Source organism: Homo sapiens, chromosome 20, assembly GCF_000001405.40.
Source record: "Homo sapiens chromosome 20, GRCh38.p14 Primary Assembly".
NCBI classification, from domain to species: domain Eukaryota; kingdom Metazoa; phylum Chordata; class Mammalia; order Primates; family Hominidae; genus Homo; species Homo sapiens.
Window position 1 is genome coordinate 48,252,956 of NC_000020.11, and position 15,815 is coordinate 48,268,770.

The window sequence follows — 15,815 nt, forward strand, 5'->3', positions numbered from 1 at the left end:
GTTGTATTAGTCTCTTCTCACATTGCTATAAAGAAATACCTGAGACAGGGTAATTTATTTTAAAAAGGGGTTTAATTGGCCTACAGCTCTGCAGGCTGTACAGGAAGCATGGGTGGGAAGGCCTCAGGGAGCTTTTACTCATGGCAGAATGCGAAGCCAGAGAAAGCATCTTACGTGGCTGGAGCAGGAGGAAGCGGGGTGGGGAGATGCTACACACTTTGAAACAACAAGATCTCATGAGAACTCACTCACTATACAGTACCAAGGTGTATGGTGCTGAACCACTCATGAGAACTCCATCCCCATGATCCAATCACCTCCCACCAGGCCCCACCTCCAACACTGGGGATTACAATACAAGATGAGATTTGGATGCGGACACAGACCCAAACCCTATCAATGATCTAATTAAAACAAAAGATTGGCAGAGTGAGTTTAAAACATGACCCAATTATATGTTGTCACAAGAAACTCACCTCAAATGTAACTAGATAGGCAGTAACAAACCAGGAGCAGAATTCTTGAAATTCCAGAAAGAAAACAAGAATATTGTGAATGGATAAAAATAGGGTAAACATAAACGATTTTACTAGTTTTCACCTCATGAGTTTCTTATATTATATGTGTTGGTTGAAACAAAAATAATAACATCATGTGATGTGATTCTCAATGTATGAAAGCAACACTTAAGACAATTATATTGTAAAAGCGTGAAGGGGAAAGGGACCTAAGTAGCAGGAAGGCCTGGATGCTTCAGGCTAAGTGTTGAAACAGTGATAGCAGTATTTACAATAAACTGTGTATGTATATAGGCAGCCACTGAGCAAAATATACAAAGCAATATACTCTAATACATAAATAAATCAAAATGGAATTCTAAAAATCATTCAGAAACCCACAGGAAGGCAAGAAAAGAGAAACAGAGGGTAAACAGAGAAAATAAATAATAAAATCTCAGTTCTTAGCTCTAACATATCCGTAATTACTTCAAATGTCAATGGTCTAACTGTACTGATTAAGAGAGAGAGTGGATTGAGAAATACAAGTCAGGTACATCTGCATACAAGAAACTCACTTCAAATATAATGACACATAAGCTGAAACCTAAAGAATGGATAAAGTTGTATCATGGGCCAGGTCCAGCGGCTCATGCCTGTAATCCCAGCACTTTGGGAGGCCAAGGTGGGTGGATCATCTGAGGTCAGGAGTTCAAAACCAGCCTGGCCAACATGGTAAAACCCGGTCTCTACTAAAAACAGAAAAAATTAGCTGGGTGTGGTGGTGCATGCCTGTAATCCCAGCTACTTGGGAGGCTGAGGCAGCAGAATTGCTTGAGCCTGGAAGGTGGAGGTTGCAGTGAGCTGAGTTCGAGCCATTGCACACTAGCCTAGGCAACAAGAGTGAAACGCCATCTCAAAAAAAAAAAAAAAAGTTGTATCATGCGGATATTGATTTAATAAAATGGAGTGTTTATATTAATATTAGATTAAATAGACTTTAGAGCAAAGACATTAGTAGGGTCAATAAGAGACATTACATAAGTATAAAAGGATCAATCCATAGAGAAGAATAGTGATCCTAAATGTGTATGCACCAACCAATGGAGCTTTGAAATACATGAAACAAAAACTGATAGAGCTGAAAGGAGAAATAGATAAATCCACAATTACAACTGGAGATGTCAGGACCTAAGATATCAGCATTTGACATTTTCTATCAGTAATTGACACATCTAGTAGACAGATCTAACAGGAAGGAAATCAGTAAGGATACAGTTAAACTGAACAATATCATAAATCAACTGGATCTAATTGACATGTATAGTTTACTTCATCCAACAACAACAGAAATGTACATTCTTCCTAAGCTTACATGGGACATTCACCAAGGTAGATTGTCTCCTGGTTTATAAAGTAGAGTTTAACAAAGTTTAAAAAATTGAAACCACAAAGAGAACACTCTCTTACCATAATGAAATAAACTAGAAATCAATAATAGAAAGACAACAGGAAAATCTTCAAATGTATGACTATTAAACAGCTCAATTCTACATAACCCATGAGTAAAAGAAGAAGTCTCCAAGAAAATAAAAAAAAATACATAGAACTGAATGATAATGAAAATACGACATATCAAAATGTGTGAGATGTAGTTAAAGTCATGCTGAGAAATAACTTTGGAGTACTAAGTGCCTACATTAGAAAAAAAGGAAAAAGCTCAAATCAATAATCCAAGTCCTACCTCAAGAAAGTAGGTAAAAAGAGTAAAGTAAACCCAAAGTGAGCAGAAAGAAGGAAATAATAAAGATAAGAACAGAAACGAATGAAGTTGAAAACAGAAAAGCAAAACATAAAATCAATGAAACAAAGAATAGGTTCTTTGAAAGGCTCAATATAATTGACATATGTTTGCAAGATTGACAAAGATAAAAAGAGAAACAAATCATTAATCCCAGGAACAAAACAGAGGATATCACTACAGATTCTATGGTCATTAAAGGGATAAAAAGAAAATGCTATGAATAACTTTATACTCATAAATTCTATAATTTGTAAGAAATTGACCAGCTTTTAAAAACCATAAGCTACCAAATCCAATCAAGATGAAACTAATTACCATAGTAACACTATAAGATCCTGAAAAAGAATCTCCAGGCCAAGATGGTTTCACTGGAGAATTTTAGCTAACATTTAAAAAGAACATTTTATACCAATGTTACAGTGTCTTCCAGAAAATAGAAGAGAGAACACTTCCCAGCTCATTTTATGAGGCCAATACTATTTTGATACCCAATCCAGATAAAAATAGAAATAGAAAACTATATAAAAAGTAAAAAATTGAAAACTATAAAAATAGAAAACTATAGACAAATATCTCTCACAAACTTAGATATAAAAATCTTCAAATACATTACAAAATTGAATTCAACAATGTATAGAAAACACTACATGACATGACCAAGGAGGATTAATGCCAAGTATGCAAGGCTAGTTTAATATTCAAAACATCAATCAATATAATCCACCGTATCCACAGGCTGAAGAAGAAAAATCTTTTTAATTGATGCAGAAGAAACACTTATTCATGATAAAAATGCTCAGCACACTAGAATTGGAGGGTAATGTTCTCAATCTCGTAAAAATCATCAATGAAAACCTAAACTTAACATCATGCTTCATGGTGAAAAACTGAATGTTTTGCCTCTACCACCAGGAATGAGGCATCAAGATAGATAATATCCTGCTTGGATAAAAAGAAAAATGTCCCTTTTCACCCCTTTTATTCAACATAGTACTAGAAGTTCTAGACAATACAATAAGGCAAGAAAAAGAAATAGAAGGTAAACAGAAGAAATGCAGCAGTCTCTATTTGAAGATGACATCATTGCCTACAAAGAAAATCCCAAAGAATCTACCAAAACAAGGAACCCTCCTAGAATAATTTAGTGAGTTCAGCAAGATTGTGTGATACAAGATGAATATACAAAATCAATTGCATTTATATATCCTAATAATAAACAAATAGAACCTGAAATTTAAAGTGCAATACCACATACAGTTGCTCCAAAGAAAACGAAATACTTAGGTGTAAAATCAGCAAAACATGGAAAAGATTTATATGCTGAAAATTATAAAATCTTGATGAAAGAAATTAAAGAACTAAACAACTGGAACAACTTTGTTTATGGACTGGGAGACAACATAGTGAAAATGCCAATTCTCTCCCTAATTCATTGATGTTTAATGCAATTTCTGTTAAAATCCCAAATGGCTTTTTGGAGACATAAACAAGCCAATGGGCTTCTCACTCTATCTCTGCTGGTGCCACAGGGGAAGGAAGCTCCTACCTGGCCTTCTTTTGCTGCTGGGTAGAGAAACAGATGTTGAGAGGTCCCAGTAGGTGACTGCCATGAGTTGAGGGTGGAGACTCAAAGCCTGGTTCACCTTCTTCTGCTGGGTGGAAGCCTCAGGGACACCAGGTCTAAGTTACCCTCTGCCATTAGATGGAGGGGCTGGAGACTCCAGGTTTTCTGGTACCACAAAGAAGGGATGCATGTGTCCAGTGAGCATGGGGTGTGGGACAGGCCAACTAAGCCCTGGAAGCTTTGCTGGAGCCACTGCTGCTGCTATGTGTGGGCTCCATGACACTGCCCCCTTCCAGCTGTTGCATTTGGTTTTGAGTTCATGTATCCCTATTTGTGGTTCCGGGTTGCCGGCCTCTCCAGTGCCTAGTGTAGGGTGTATGGGAAGTTACAACAACAACAACAACAAGACAAGTAACTCAACTTAGGTGTCATTATCAAAGTCCTAAGGTTCTTAGCCAGTGCATCTTCTTCATTCCGTCTTTCAGAGCGCTTTATGCTTGTCTGTTAAATTATTTCTAGGGCATTTAGTTGTATTATGAGGGGAAGAGTAGGGAAAAGTGAACCTGTACTATCTTGTTCCATAACTATAGGACGGTTTCTTTTAAAGCTAAAAATAGACTTACCATAGATCCAGAAATTGCACTTATAGGCCTTTATTCCACAGAAATAAAACATATGTTCATGTAAAAGCTTCTACAGAAAATTTCACAGCAACTTTATTCATAATGGCCCCACACTGGAAACTATACCAATGTCCTTCAATGGGTGAATGATTAAACAAACCCTGGAACATCCATAATGTGGAATATGTCAGCAATAAAAAGGAGAAATTATTGCTGCACACAGCAACCAAAATGAACATCAAGGGAATGATGCTTACTAGAAGAATAAGCCAACACCAAAATGTTACATGCTGTATGATTCCCTTTATATAACATTTTTGAAATTTAAAAAATTCTAGAGATGGAGATCAGTTAGAGGTTGCAGGGGGTTAGGGACTGGCTAGTGTGGTCCTAGAGGGAGGCAGAGGGACCCTTGAAGTGACGGGACAGTTCTGTAGCTTGACTATGGTGGTGGTTACTCAAAACCGCATATGTGATAAAATTGCATAACTGGTGAAATCTACATAAGCTCTGTGGATTGCACCTATGTCAATTTCCAGCTTGTCATATTGTACTTTAGTGATGCAAGATGTGATGATTGGGGGAGGCTGGGTGAAGGGTACATAGGACCTCCTTAAACAGTTCCTTGCCACTCTCTGTGGATCTAAGTTATTTCACAGTAAAAAAAAAAATTTAAAAAGCCAAAACAAAACAATATTGCTAATTTCCAACCACAAAATATTCCTTTTAAACTACCCCTGGCCCCATCTTCTCTCTCTGTCTCTGTTTCTCCATCTCTCTCTTTTCAGGCCACTGTGAAGACCTATTTGCACCAACCTGGAACTTTCATTTTTACCTTTTTTTTTGAGACGGAGTCTTGCTTTGTCACCCAAGCTGGAGTGCAGTGGTGCCATCTTGGCTCACTGCAACCTCTACCTCCCAGGTTCAAGTGATTCTCCTGCCTCAGCCTCCTGAGTAGCTGGGATTACAGGCACACACCGCTAAGCCTGGCTAATTTTTGTATTTTAGTAGAGATGGGGTTTTACCATGTTGGCCAGACTGGTCTAGAACTCCTGACCTCAGGTGATCGGACTCCCAAATTGCTGGGATTACAAGAGTGAGCCACTAAGCCTGGCCCAACCTGGATCTTTCTATCTGAGGTTCTGGGAGGGCTGGCAGAAAGTGGAAAAGGGGATAACTTTTTAGTGCCTGATTTGGTGGTATTTCATGTGAACTACCTTAATCATGGAGCCGATTCTCTAATCCTTCTGTTTATCAGTGGCCCCTGCCCCATCCTTTGGGAAACGTTCCAGGATGTTTGGCACTTAACACTGGGTACAAACTCCCCACCCAACAGCAGCCGTTCCTGGTGCCTTCAAACAAAAGGACATGGAATGGGGTAATATTATTTGGATAATTTTCAAAAATGCCCTACAAACGATAAGTGGATCAACAGATAGATTCCAAGCATCATGGGTATCCCTTTGGGTTGGCAATTGCAGCTGCGCATTAACCAGGTCCTTGGGATGATGGTTGAATGTGAGTTGTATCCTGGGCAGATAGACTCACAGATGTGCACACAAATGCACACACACAGGACACACATATGGACGCTTTGTGCTCCTCCAAGCTGGGCATTTTACAGTCAATTCATGGATCAGTCAATACATTTGGAAACTTAGTAGGTTATTAGAGTTTCAGAAAAAGTCTCAAGTTCAAATAAAATGTGTGTATGTGTTTGTGTGTGCATCTACTCACAGTCTTATCCACCCAAATCTCAGGTGCAGCAGTGGTGCCAACATCATGACTTTATGTACATAAACTTGGCCAGGGAAGGAAGGGACCTTAATGTGCAAATGTCCCACGTGCCATCGGTCAAGCCCACCACCTTCACCTTTCAAGTTTCTTATTAGAACTCTAGACTACACGCCTGACAGGCTGTCAGGTTGAGTTTCCTCTTCTGTATGACATGGGACAAGCAAAGTGGGGAGAACATCTTCTACAGGGTGAAATGTCTTCATCCTGTCTTCCTCACCCCCTTTGCCACTTAATGATTAGCTTTAATCTAACTAGAACCTTTTGGGGTTTCTGTAATGGGAGGCAGAGGTGCAGTAAGAAATCCCCTTTACTACCCAGTGAAATACAGGGGCGTCTCCAAGGGAAGCCCGTCTCACCTGCTTCCTGTCTCCCGCCGAGAACCTGCTCCAGCACAGCCTCCCAGTCTCTGCCCCAAAGGTGAGGGTGGGCCCTGTGGGAAAGAGACAGGGGACAGATGGAGGGGCAAGAGGGCAGGGGTCCCAACCTGCACAGAGGAGCAAACCTGCACCAGATTGAAACGTAAGCTGAATGTAATTACTTGGTTAATTAAATACTGACTTTTAACTCAAAAAGTGATTAAAACAAGCTGCAGAAAGACTGTCCAGAAGCGGGGCAGGGAATGAATCAAAGCTTTCAAGAAGAGGGAGGAGGAAGAGAGGGTTGTCACAGGCAGGTCTGGCTTGCTCTTCCTACTGTGTACTGGGCCTACTGCATGCAGGGGGTGTGGTCTTTGGTCTCTGAGCAGGTGAGGAATTTTGGACTGAGGCCAACATGCAAAGTAGGATTTCAGACTTCTTATATCTTTCCACTTCAGACCCCATCTCTTTTCCCAGTTGTCTGAGAGTACCAGGAGCTGCTGGTGCCTAGGAACCGGGTCCTGTTCATCCACGTTTCCTTGGAACAGAATGCAGTACCCGGCACGAGGAGGTGCTCCAGAAATGCTTGCAGAACAAATGAACAAATGACTACACAGTAGTATTATGCACATGTGTGTTCCGATGAGCACGTGTGCGCGTGTGTGTGTGTTCACTGTAGGCAGGAGCTGTGGGTCATGTGTTGTAGGCTGGTCTTAACTCACCAGCTCAGACACCCATGATGTCAGAGGATCTGTAAAACTCCCTGAGCCGTGTTTCCTCCCCATAATTCCCAGCAAACTCCCTGGTCCTCTGTATTCAAGGCCTCAGCCTGTTTTCCAGGTCCTTCTAGGCAGCTGGGGATGGCTGGCCCCATTCCAGAGCTCGGTGTCTGCCTGGGAGACTTAGGACCTTTAGAGCCTCAGATGTCCCCAGCCTGGGAAGTCACTCAGCCATGACTCAGCCGGGCCTGGATGGGGCTCAGCAGAATCCTCAGGACCCCCACGGCCTCCCAATGCTCCAGTCCCTGCCACCTCCACCCACAGCCTTTCTCCTCCCGTGTCCTTCGTCACCCATGACATCATCTTGTGCGATCATCCTGGCTGCACAATCAAGCCTTTCAAGCTCCTCACGCCACCCCAACTCTCTCCTTATTGTTGATTTAACCTCAAGGGGACCATTCTCTTGATGCTTCCACACCTCGCTTCTTCAGCCTGCAAATTCCTTGGCAGCCCTTTTGTGCAGAACACCCCCTGGTTCCATCTACCTTGCAAAGCTGGAGTTGCTGTTTTATTTCCTTGACTTATAGGCAACAACAAAAAAAAAAAAAAAGGAAAAAAATCACTCAGTGTGTATTTTTTAATCTCCATCAAGAGACTATAATACAACCTGTACCATTTTTGTCTGAGCACTTTCTGGCTGAGTTTGGGTTGTAGCAGATGGGATTTTATGAAGGTTGTAAAAGTCAAGCTCTCAGCATGTCAAACAAATCAGTGTGTGAAGGAGAAACATTAAAAGTAGGAAAAATGGCTGTGGCCTGGGATGCATTCGGAGGCTTTGGAAAATAAGCCCACAGACCTGGAGCACAGGTGGCCCCGAAATTTGGCTGAAAATTGCCTTTCAAGAGCAAAAGTTGCTGCAGTCACCCTCAAAGGATCATGATCTAAATTCTCTACTCCTGAGTGGGGACCGTGGTGCTCTGGGTTTAAAAATACAAATTCCAGCATCAACTATAACTATATAGTCTTATGGTTAATTCTGCTTGAGTTTTCACCTAGGCATAAGCTGTCTTGTATGTAGAACTGCAATCGCATTAGGAGAAAGGGATCTGTGTATGAGTCTTGAGAAATTATGGTAATAAAAAATGGCAGCATAACCACCATTAAGTCAGAAGAAAGATAATTACTTCTCATGCTGCCTCCCTGGGTGAACACACTGACACGGAGATGAATTCGCTTCAGCAAAACAGGACTAATCTCTGCAGCACGGTATCTATTCCATTACCCCCTGCTTAATTACATGTGATTGTAGCGTCTAATTTATACTGATACCCAATGCCCAATAGAGCACCTTCATGAAGAGTGGGTTAGTTGGGAGGTGGGAAATTTATAAACTGGTTTAATTGCAGTCATCTTTGAGCTGTTTTATGTGTGACCTCAGGGAGTGATGGTGGTTACTCTAAATTCTCACTAATGAAAGACAAGAGGGTTATGGCCAGTTAATATCACGGTTCTGAGAACACAGATAAAGGTGACAATTTGTCTGTTTGCTCTATAATTCACTAATAGTTATTTTCTGGATAAGTGGGCAGGGAAGATTGAACATGGGGATTTCACTGTGTGATGCAACAGAAGCATACAAGCAGCATTAGTATACACGTAAGTGAATATTAAAATGACTAAGGTGCCTCCAGGAAGCACAGCTATAGATCTCTATGGACAAGGTAAAGTACACGGATTTTTGGTGGACGAGAGTTTTCTTATTTATTATTATTATATGTATATATTTTGAGACAGAGTCTTGCCCTGTAGCCCAGGCTGGCATGCAGCAGCGTGATCATGGCTCGCTGCAGGCTTAACCTCCTGGGCTCAAGTGATCCTCTCACTTTAGCCTCCCGAGTAGCTGGGACTACAGACATGCACCACCACACCCAACTAATTTTGTATGTTTTGTAGAGACAGGGTCCCACTATGTTGTCCAGGCTGCTCTCAAACTCCTGGGCTCAAGTGATCTGCCCACCTCAGTCCCCCAAAGTGCTAAGATTACAGGTGTGAGCCAAGCACCTGGCCAAGAGTTTCCTAAAGGGGAAAGGCAGGATCCATCCTCCCATATGTGCAATTCCATTTAGGGCTCTTTTTGGGACAGCACACCTGGTTTTACAACTCCTTTCTAGAAAGTTCACTTATGAGCTGATTAATGGCAGTAATGATTTAGTGTAAGCAGAGCGCAGTAGCCCTAGGGCTGAGGTTCTAACCTGGGCTCTGTTCCCACTGGCTGGTAAATCCTTGGCTGACCTCCCCAGGCTTCCATTTCCGCATCTTGAGAGTAGTGATGATATCAGCGACACTGCAGGGACATTGTGTTGGATTGAGTGAGATGAAGGAGAGTATAAATGCACAGCACAGACCGGTTCTGAGCCTCCCATTTCAGAGCAGGAAGCCGGGCCTCCCCCTCGAGGATGCACTGAGAGAGGCCACTGTGAGATCTGGCAGAGGGTGTCTTGATGTCAGGTGATCAGAACACATGGCAGCCTTGGACATCTCTGATACGACTCCTGCTCATGGAGTCATTCATTTGACAGATGTTATTAAGTTAAGTACCAGATCATAGCAACCACAGGAGTTATAAAGAGGACATGTCACCTGCTTCAGGGGAACTTAGAGCCTAGGAGGTGAAACAGATGTAACAAGTGAACATGACAAAGTTTGCAGCAGGAGCTGCTGGTTGCTTACCTCTTCTTTGCTAATAAAAATGGGATCTGTTTGGGCAGCAACAGGTCCAGTTCAAGGGGAGAGAACAACCCTGTCAATCATGACAATCCCACAGGTGGGCACTTGAGCACTGCTGGCCAAGGAGCTGGAAGGGCCAGTCAGCTGGAGGCTTCTGGGAATATTTTTGTCCTTGCTAAAATGGGAGAAAAGTATTCTGATTTCTTTTCAGAGTTATTGAAAGCTGGAAAGAGCATAGCTCCCAACCCTCCAAAGGAAAAAACCAGACAAGCAACAAGTGCATGCCTTTTCCAGAGCCCAACAAAATCCTGAGGTTGCAGAGCAAACAACAGTCCCCAAATTTACAGAGAGAGAGAGAGGCACTTGTGGGGAGAGAAGAGCCTGGCTTATGTGGGCAAGATGTAGCTAGAAACAGTAAGAACAGTCCAGCAAAGGTGATGGTTCCCAACAGGGGCCAATTTTTTTCCCTAAGGGGTAGCTGGGAGTATCTGAAGAAAGTTTTGATTGTTACAACTGGGTTAAGAGTGTTACTGGCATCCAGTGGGCCAGGGACACTGCTAAACATTCTGCAGTGCACAGGATAGCCCCTACGACAAAGAATTATCTGGCCCAAAATGTCCACGATGTTAAGGCTGAGAAACCTTGAGCTAAGTCAACATTGTCTCTAGCCTGGACAACTACAATACACTAACAGGTCCCCCAGGTCTGCCCTTGCTCCCTACCATCCATTCCCCACATGGCCGCCAGTTGGCTTCCATGTAAAAGAAACCAGATCGTGCCACTCGTCTATATAAAATCCTCCAATGGCTCACATCTTGAGACTTCACCATGGCTTCACAGCGTGCAGCATCTGTTCCCTCCATGGCCTTCTGATTTGATAACATGCTACCCCCTTCTGTCACTTCGATCCAGCCATATAGTCTCTCTGCATCCCTGGAAGACACCAAGAACACTCCCATCTCAGAGCCTTTGTACTTGCTCTCCCTGCCCGGGATGCTCTTTGCCCTTCCAATGCTCATGGCCACATCTCACTCCCATCTCTGCTCCAACATCTCATTTGCAAAGAGAAAAGAAAGAGCCCACCCACAGTCCCACACTAGGATAGTGCTTGGCACAAAATAGGTGCTCAAATAAATATTTGTTGAAGGAATCAATAAATAAAATGAAGACCTGCCCCCTTGAACTTTCGGTTAACTCACCCCAGCCTCAAATTGAAATCAAAGAAGTTATTAGAAACCTGGAAGAGAGCAGAAAAGGGAACTGAGGGAGTGAGTCTGGGACTGGGTGTTGGAGCTCTGGGTTCACATCTGGTTGGGTCAGCAGCTTTCAGATGTGTCCCTGGATAGGTATTTTCCTACTCTAAGTCTCAGATTATTTGTAAAATGGGCAAAGAAGCCATTCATTCAGTCATGTCTTCATTCAATAAAAATTTATTGAGCAACTGCTGAGCCAAGCACTGATGCAGGTGATGGGGATCCACTAGGAAACAAGACAGTTCCTTCTGGAATGAATGACCACACATTTATCAGCTTTAAACAACACACGTACATGTGACAAACTCCATAGTTCTGTAGGTCAGAAGTTCAACACAGCATGGCTAGATACGCTTCTCAGAATCTCATTGGCCCAAAATCAAGGTGTCAGCTAGAGATACGGTTCTCACCTGGAGCTCGGAGTCCTCTTCCAAGCTTCTGGTATTAGTAGAATTCGTTTCCTTCTCACTTTCCACATGGCCCAAACAGAAGGCACATTGAATCCTTCCAGAGCTTCAAATCTCTCTGACTTTTTGGCCATTCTTTTCTGTTATTCAAGGCTAATGAGATTCCATTGTATCCTCCGAAATAACTCAGGTTAATCTTATTATATTCCCAGGTTCCAGAAATTAGAGCATGGACATCTTTTAGGGGCCGTTCTCCTAATTTACATGTGGATGCATGTGGAGCCAGCATTCCAGGCAGAGGAAACAGCAGAGGCAAAGGCCATAAAATACTAATGGGCTTGATTTGTTCAAGGAGCCTCAAGCAACCAACATGGCTGGGCAGCAGAGCATGGAAGAGGGAAACAGGTGAGGAGGCCAGGGAGGTGGTGACTTCTAGGCCATGTGGTGCTTGGTAGACAGCAGGAACCAGAATGGGTTTTGTTCTAAGTACTTACGGAACTCATGGGAGCATTTTAAGCCAGATTGTAAAAATACCAAACCAATGTTTTTTAAGAAGATAACTTTGACTTCTGTATGGCAAAAAGTAAATGTGGAAGCAGGAAGACCAGTTTGGAGGACATGGCCATGGGGACAATGGCTTGGACTAGGACGTGGGGGTGGAAGTCATGAGAAGTGGTTGGGTTCTGGATCTCTTTAAATGATTTTTTTAAGCTGAATTTTCTGATGGAGTAAAAGATTTGTCAATTTCCTTCTAGCTGACAGCAGAAGGGGTGGCTTTGATCGGCTTTCATCTCCCTCTCCAGGCCTCCCCATATCGCTCCACCTGGAATAAAAATAAAAGCTAAGAAAAACCCATCTATCGGCACAAGCACAGCATCCAGACTAGTCACCTTGGCTTGTCACAGCCCTCGCCACACTGAGACATAGACATAGACATTGATAGATAAAAACTTGATTTTATAAAAATCAAAAGACAGTAATAATGAGGACATTCAGAAAATGGAGAACCATTTAGCTGGAATCTGAAATAGTATAATACAGCAGCAGCAGTTACCATCCTTTGAGTACAAAGTGTGAGAATGCTGCTTGAAGTTGGAGATTGGAGGCTTTGGGGAGCAGTTTCTTTACTTCGCTGACATCCTGGACATCACACATGGGCCTTACAAAGTTCACACACAAGCCTCTGCAGCCTCCGTCTGCTTGTTCTGAGATCAAACTGGGCGGCCTTCGGCTCTGGCTTTGATTAGCTATGCACAGCCTGACTGCCTGAAACTCATGCAATAGAGATGAATGGAAAATGAGGCTTGTAATTATTTTCAAAAGACGTGCAGCCTGACTTCAGCCCATGAAGACTTCCAGGCCCCTGGAAAAGCCTGGCTCTGTGGACATGCGAGCTGTGCAGTCTCATGGTGCCTCCGTTTAGAAGGGCCCCATGTTAGGTTTAATGCTTGGCTCTCTTGAAATTCTCAATAAGTTTTGAATGAGGGGCCCCATGTTTTCATTTTGTGCTTGGTTCTGCTTTGAAACTGCCTAGAAACCATCTTTCCCATTTTCATTCCAGTTGCTCAAACCCCTTTCTCAAACCTTTCAGAGAGGAAGGTAGCACAGGGGATATTCCTGGGACTGTGGTGTGGAGGGGTGTAGGTTGGTTACAGCAGCTCCTGGATGGTTGATGATGAGGATGCTGCAGATATGAGCAGGGCGTTAGCTGAGTGAGACTTCAGGATAAACCAACCTGGAGGTCCATCTTCCAAGGATGGAGGTATCATTTTACCCGAGTATGGATAATCTGGGGCAAAGAGCAGAAATGTCCCTAGCCCCAAACCTATCAACAGAGTAGCAAGGGCCCAGTGATAACCTCATCAAACCCATCTTGAAGTGGGATGGGCAGGGCCAAGAAATAAAAGAGGAAGAAACTAACCAGGAGCCTCGGCCACACTCCAGGCTTGTTCTGTGTCCAGCCGGGCTCACTGCAACTTGGTTTTCAGGGTATGAGCTGAGCGGCAGTACAACCTGTGTTGTTTAGCAACACAGTACCTTCCCCGTTTACTGCTGTAAGGTGTTAACGAGGAGGCAAATGAATTACAACTGACAGTTTACAAAGCAAAGGGGTCCAGGCATGGTGGCTCACACTTCTAATCCCAGCACTTTGGGAAGCCAAGGTGGGAGGATCGCTTGAGTCCAGGCATTTGAGATCAGCCTGGGCAACAGAGTGAGGCCCCATCTCTACACAAAAGAAAAACAACAACAACAACAACAACAACAATTAGCCAGATGTGGTGGTGCATTACTGTGGTCCCAGCTACTCGGAAGGCTGAGGTGGGAGGATTGCTTGAGCCAAGGAGTTTGAGGTTACAGTGAGCCGTGATTGCGCCACTGCACTCCCACCTGGGTGATAGAGAGAGAGAGAGAGAGAGACCCTGTCTCTAAAATAAAATAAAACATACAAAGCAAAGAGATGCCATTGCTCTTGCTGCTTCGTCCCCACTCCTCTGAGATGGAGGAAGAGTAGCCGCTGTTTTAATAGACGGTCACTAAGAGTTAGCTGCTCCTGGGTGTCTATCTTTGTGCACACGTGATTTCTTTAAGGCTCTGAATTTCCTATAGTGCTCTGCACAGAGCAGTCTTTAGGAGAAGAGACATCTGGATATCTATGAAATCAGTATTAAAAATATATTCTAGGTCACCCAATTCCCAACCGTAGTTCCCAGGTAAGGTGTCAAGGGTGGAAACATCCTGGTTGATGTCATACTGTCTGCAGTGAATGGAGCTAGGACTTGGACCTGGCCTTTGGGCACAAAGGCCACTGCTCTTTCTCCATCCCTCTTGACTGCTCAGGTGAGTGGCTGCTCTTACTGAACAATATCAGTGGGCAGAGGATGGGAGAAGTCATGGTTTTCCCCAGGACAGAAACTAGGGCTGGGGCTTCTCTGCTCAGAGGCCTTGTTGTTACTAGGCAAAAGGGGTTCACTGACTGATGCACTGGAAACCAATACTATAACACCAGGGTTTTGAGAAAAGAAAAGCTTTTCTATTGCAATTTAACCAGCAAGGACACAGGAGTCCAGCTCAAATTCGTCTCTCTGTGCTGGCTTTGAGGCAGTCATTTTCTATCAAAATAGAATTACTGCCTTAGAAAGGACGCCCTCCCAAGGACCCACTTTACTGTGTTTTGCTTTTCCTTACAACCCTGATCACCACCGATGGAGTGTGTTCCTCACCTGTCTTCTTCAACACAGCCCACTGAGGCGGGTTTAGGGGGTGGATTCTGGGATTAGAAGGTGATTGGTGGAAGGAAAGGAGAGGGCTGGAAGTCTGTGGGCATGCGCAGTTACCCCTTCATGCCGCCTCATGGGTTCCATATACAAATTCGAGGAGAGTTAGCGTGAAACGTGCGGTGGAAATTCATGCTGTGACATCAGCAAGCTCATTCTGTGCAAACTCCAGGTGGCCATATCGGTTCCAACCGATTTCAGCCAATTTAATCTCGCAAGCACGGGGAGTTTCTGCCATCCTGTAAACTCAAGAATTTGTGTTAGTTATTGGTTTCTTTAACTCTTTGGGGCACGGTTTCATTCCGTGACTTCAACACAGAGGAGTGGGGAGGCAATCCCATTGATGCACTCTGGAAAGCCTGTTGTGGGTGAGCCATGGCACAGGGCTGGACGGTCCAGGACCTTGGTCCCATGACACATGAGGTCTGTTCTGCGGAGCCCCAGCGTGTGGCCCTGTCCAGGCCCCGCCACTGTGTGTGTGGCGTTTTATTGTCAAGCTGTCCTTCTCTATCAAGGTCTTCATTTGCATTTGGCCAGGCACTGGCAGCTCCCAGAAGACACTGGGATTTTTCCAATTTGTTTGTTTATTTCATCAACAAAAGCTGGATTCCAGACTGAGATGTTAAGTCCTGGGGATGCTGCAAGGGGTAGGACAAACACAGGCTCAGCCCTCCAGAGTTTTCTGGTCTAACGTGGGCAATACATTCCCAGGGTCCATGGTGGGTAGGGGCCATCCACTCTGGTGGGGAGGAGTGTTTTACCACTGAATTGTAGCCAGTTTTATTATGGGCTT

General features: G+C 43.6%; 3 annotated features.

Annotated features, from left to right (window-relative positions):
- Positions 7,130–7,630: an enhancer, noted in NCBI's record as "H3K4me1 hESC enhancer chr20:46888828-46889328 (GRCh37/hg19 assembly coordinates)". NCBI's record gives its function as "activates a minimal SCP1, AML or CMV promoter by ChIP-STARR-seq in naive H9 embryonic stem cells {active_cell/tissue: H9 hESC(naive)}" and the evidence as "EXISTENCE:reporter gene assay evidence [ECO:0000049][PMID:30033119]".
- Positions 11,952–13,151: an enhancer, noted in NCBI's record as "CDK7 strongly-dependent group 2 enhancer chr20:46893650-46894849 (GRCh37/hg19 assembly coordinates)". NCBI's record gives its function as "activates an origin of replication core promoter dependent on BRD2, BRD4, P300/CBP, MED14 and CDK7 cofactors, with strong dependence on CDK7, by STARR-seq in HCT116 cells {active_cell/tissue: HCT116}" and the evidence as "EXISTENCE:reporter gene assay evidence [ECO:0000049][PMID:35650434]".
- Positions 13,553–14,080: an enhancer, noted in NCBI's record as "NANOG hESC enhancer chr20:46895251-46895778 (GRCh37/hg19 assembly coordinates)". NCBI's record gives its function as "activates a minimal SCP1, AML or CMV promoter by ChIP-STARR-seq in naive H9 embryonic stem cells {active_cell/tissue: H9 hESC(naive)}" and the evidence as "EXISTENCE:reporter gene assay evidence [ECO:0000049][PMID:30033119]".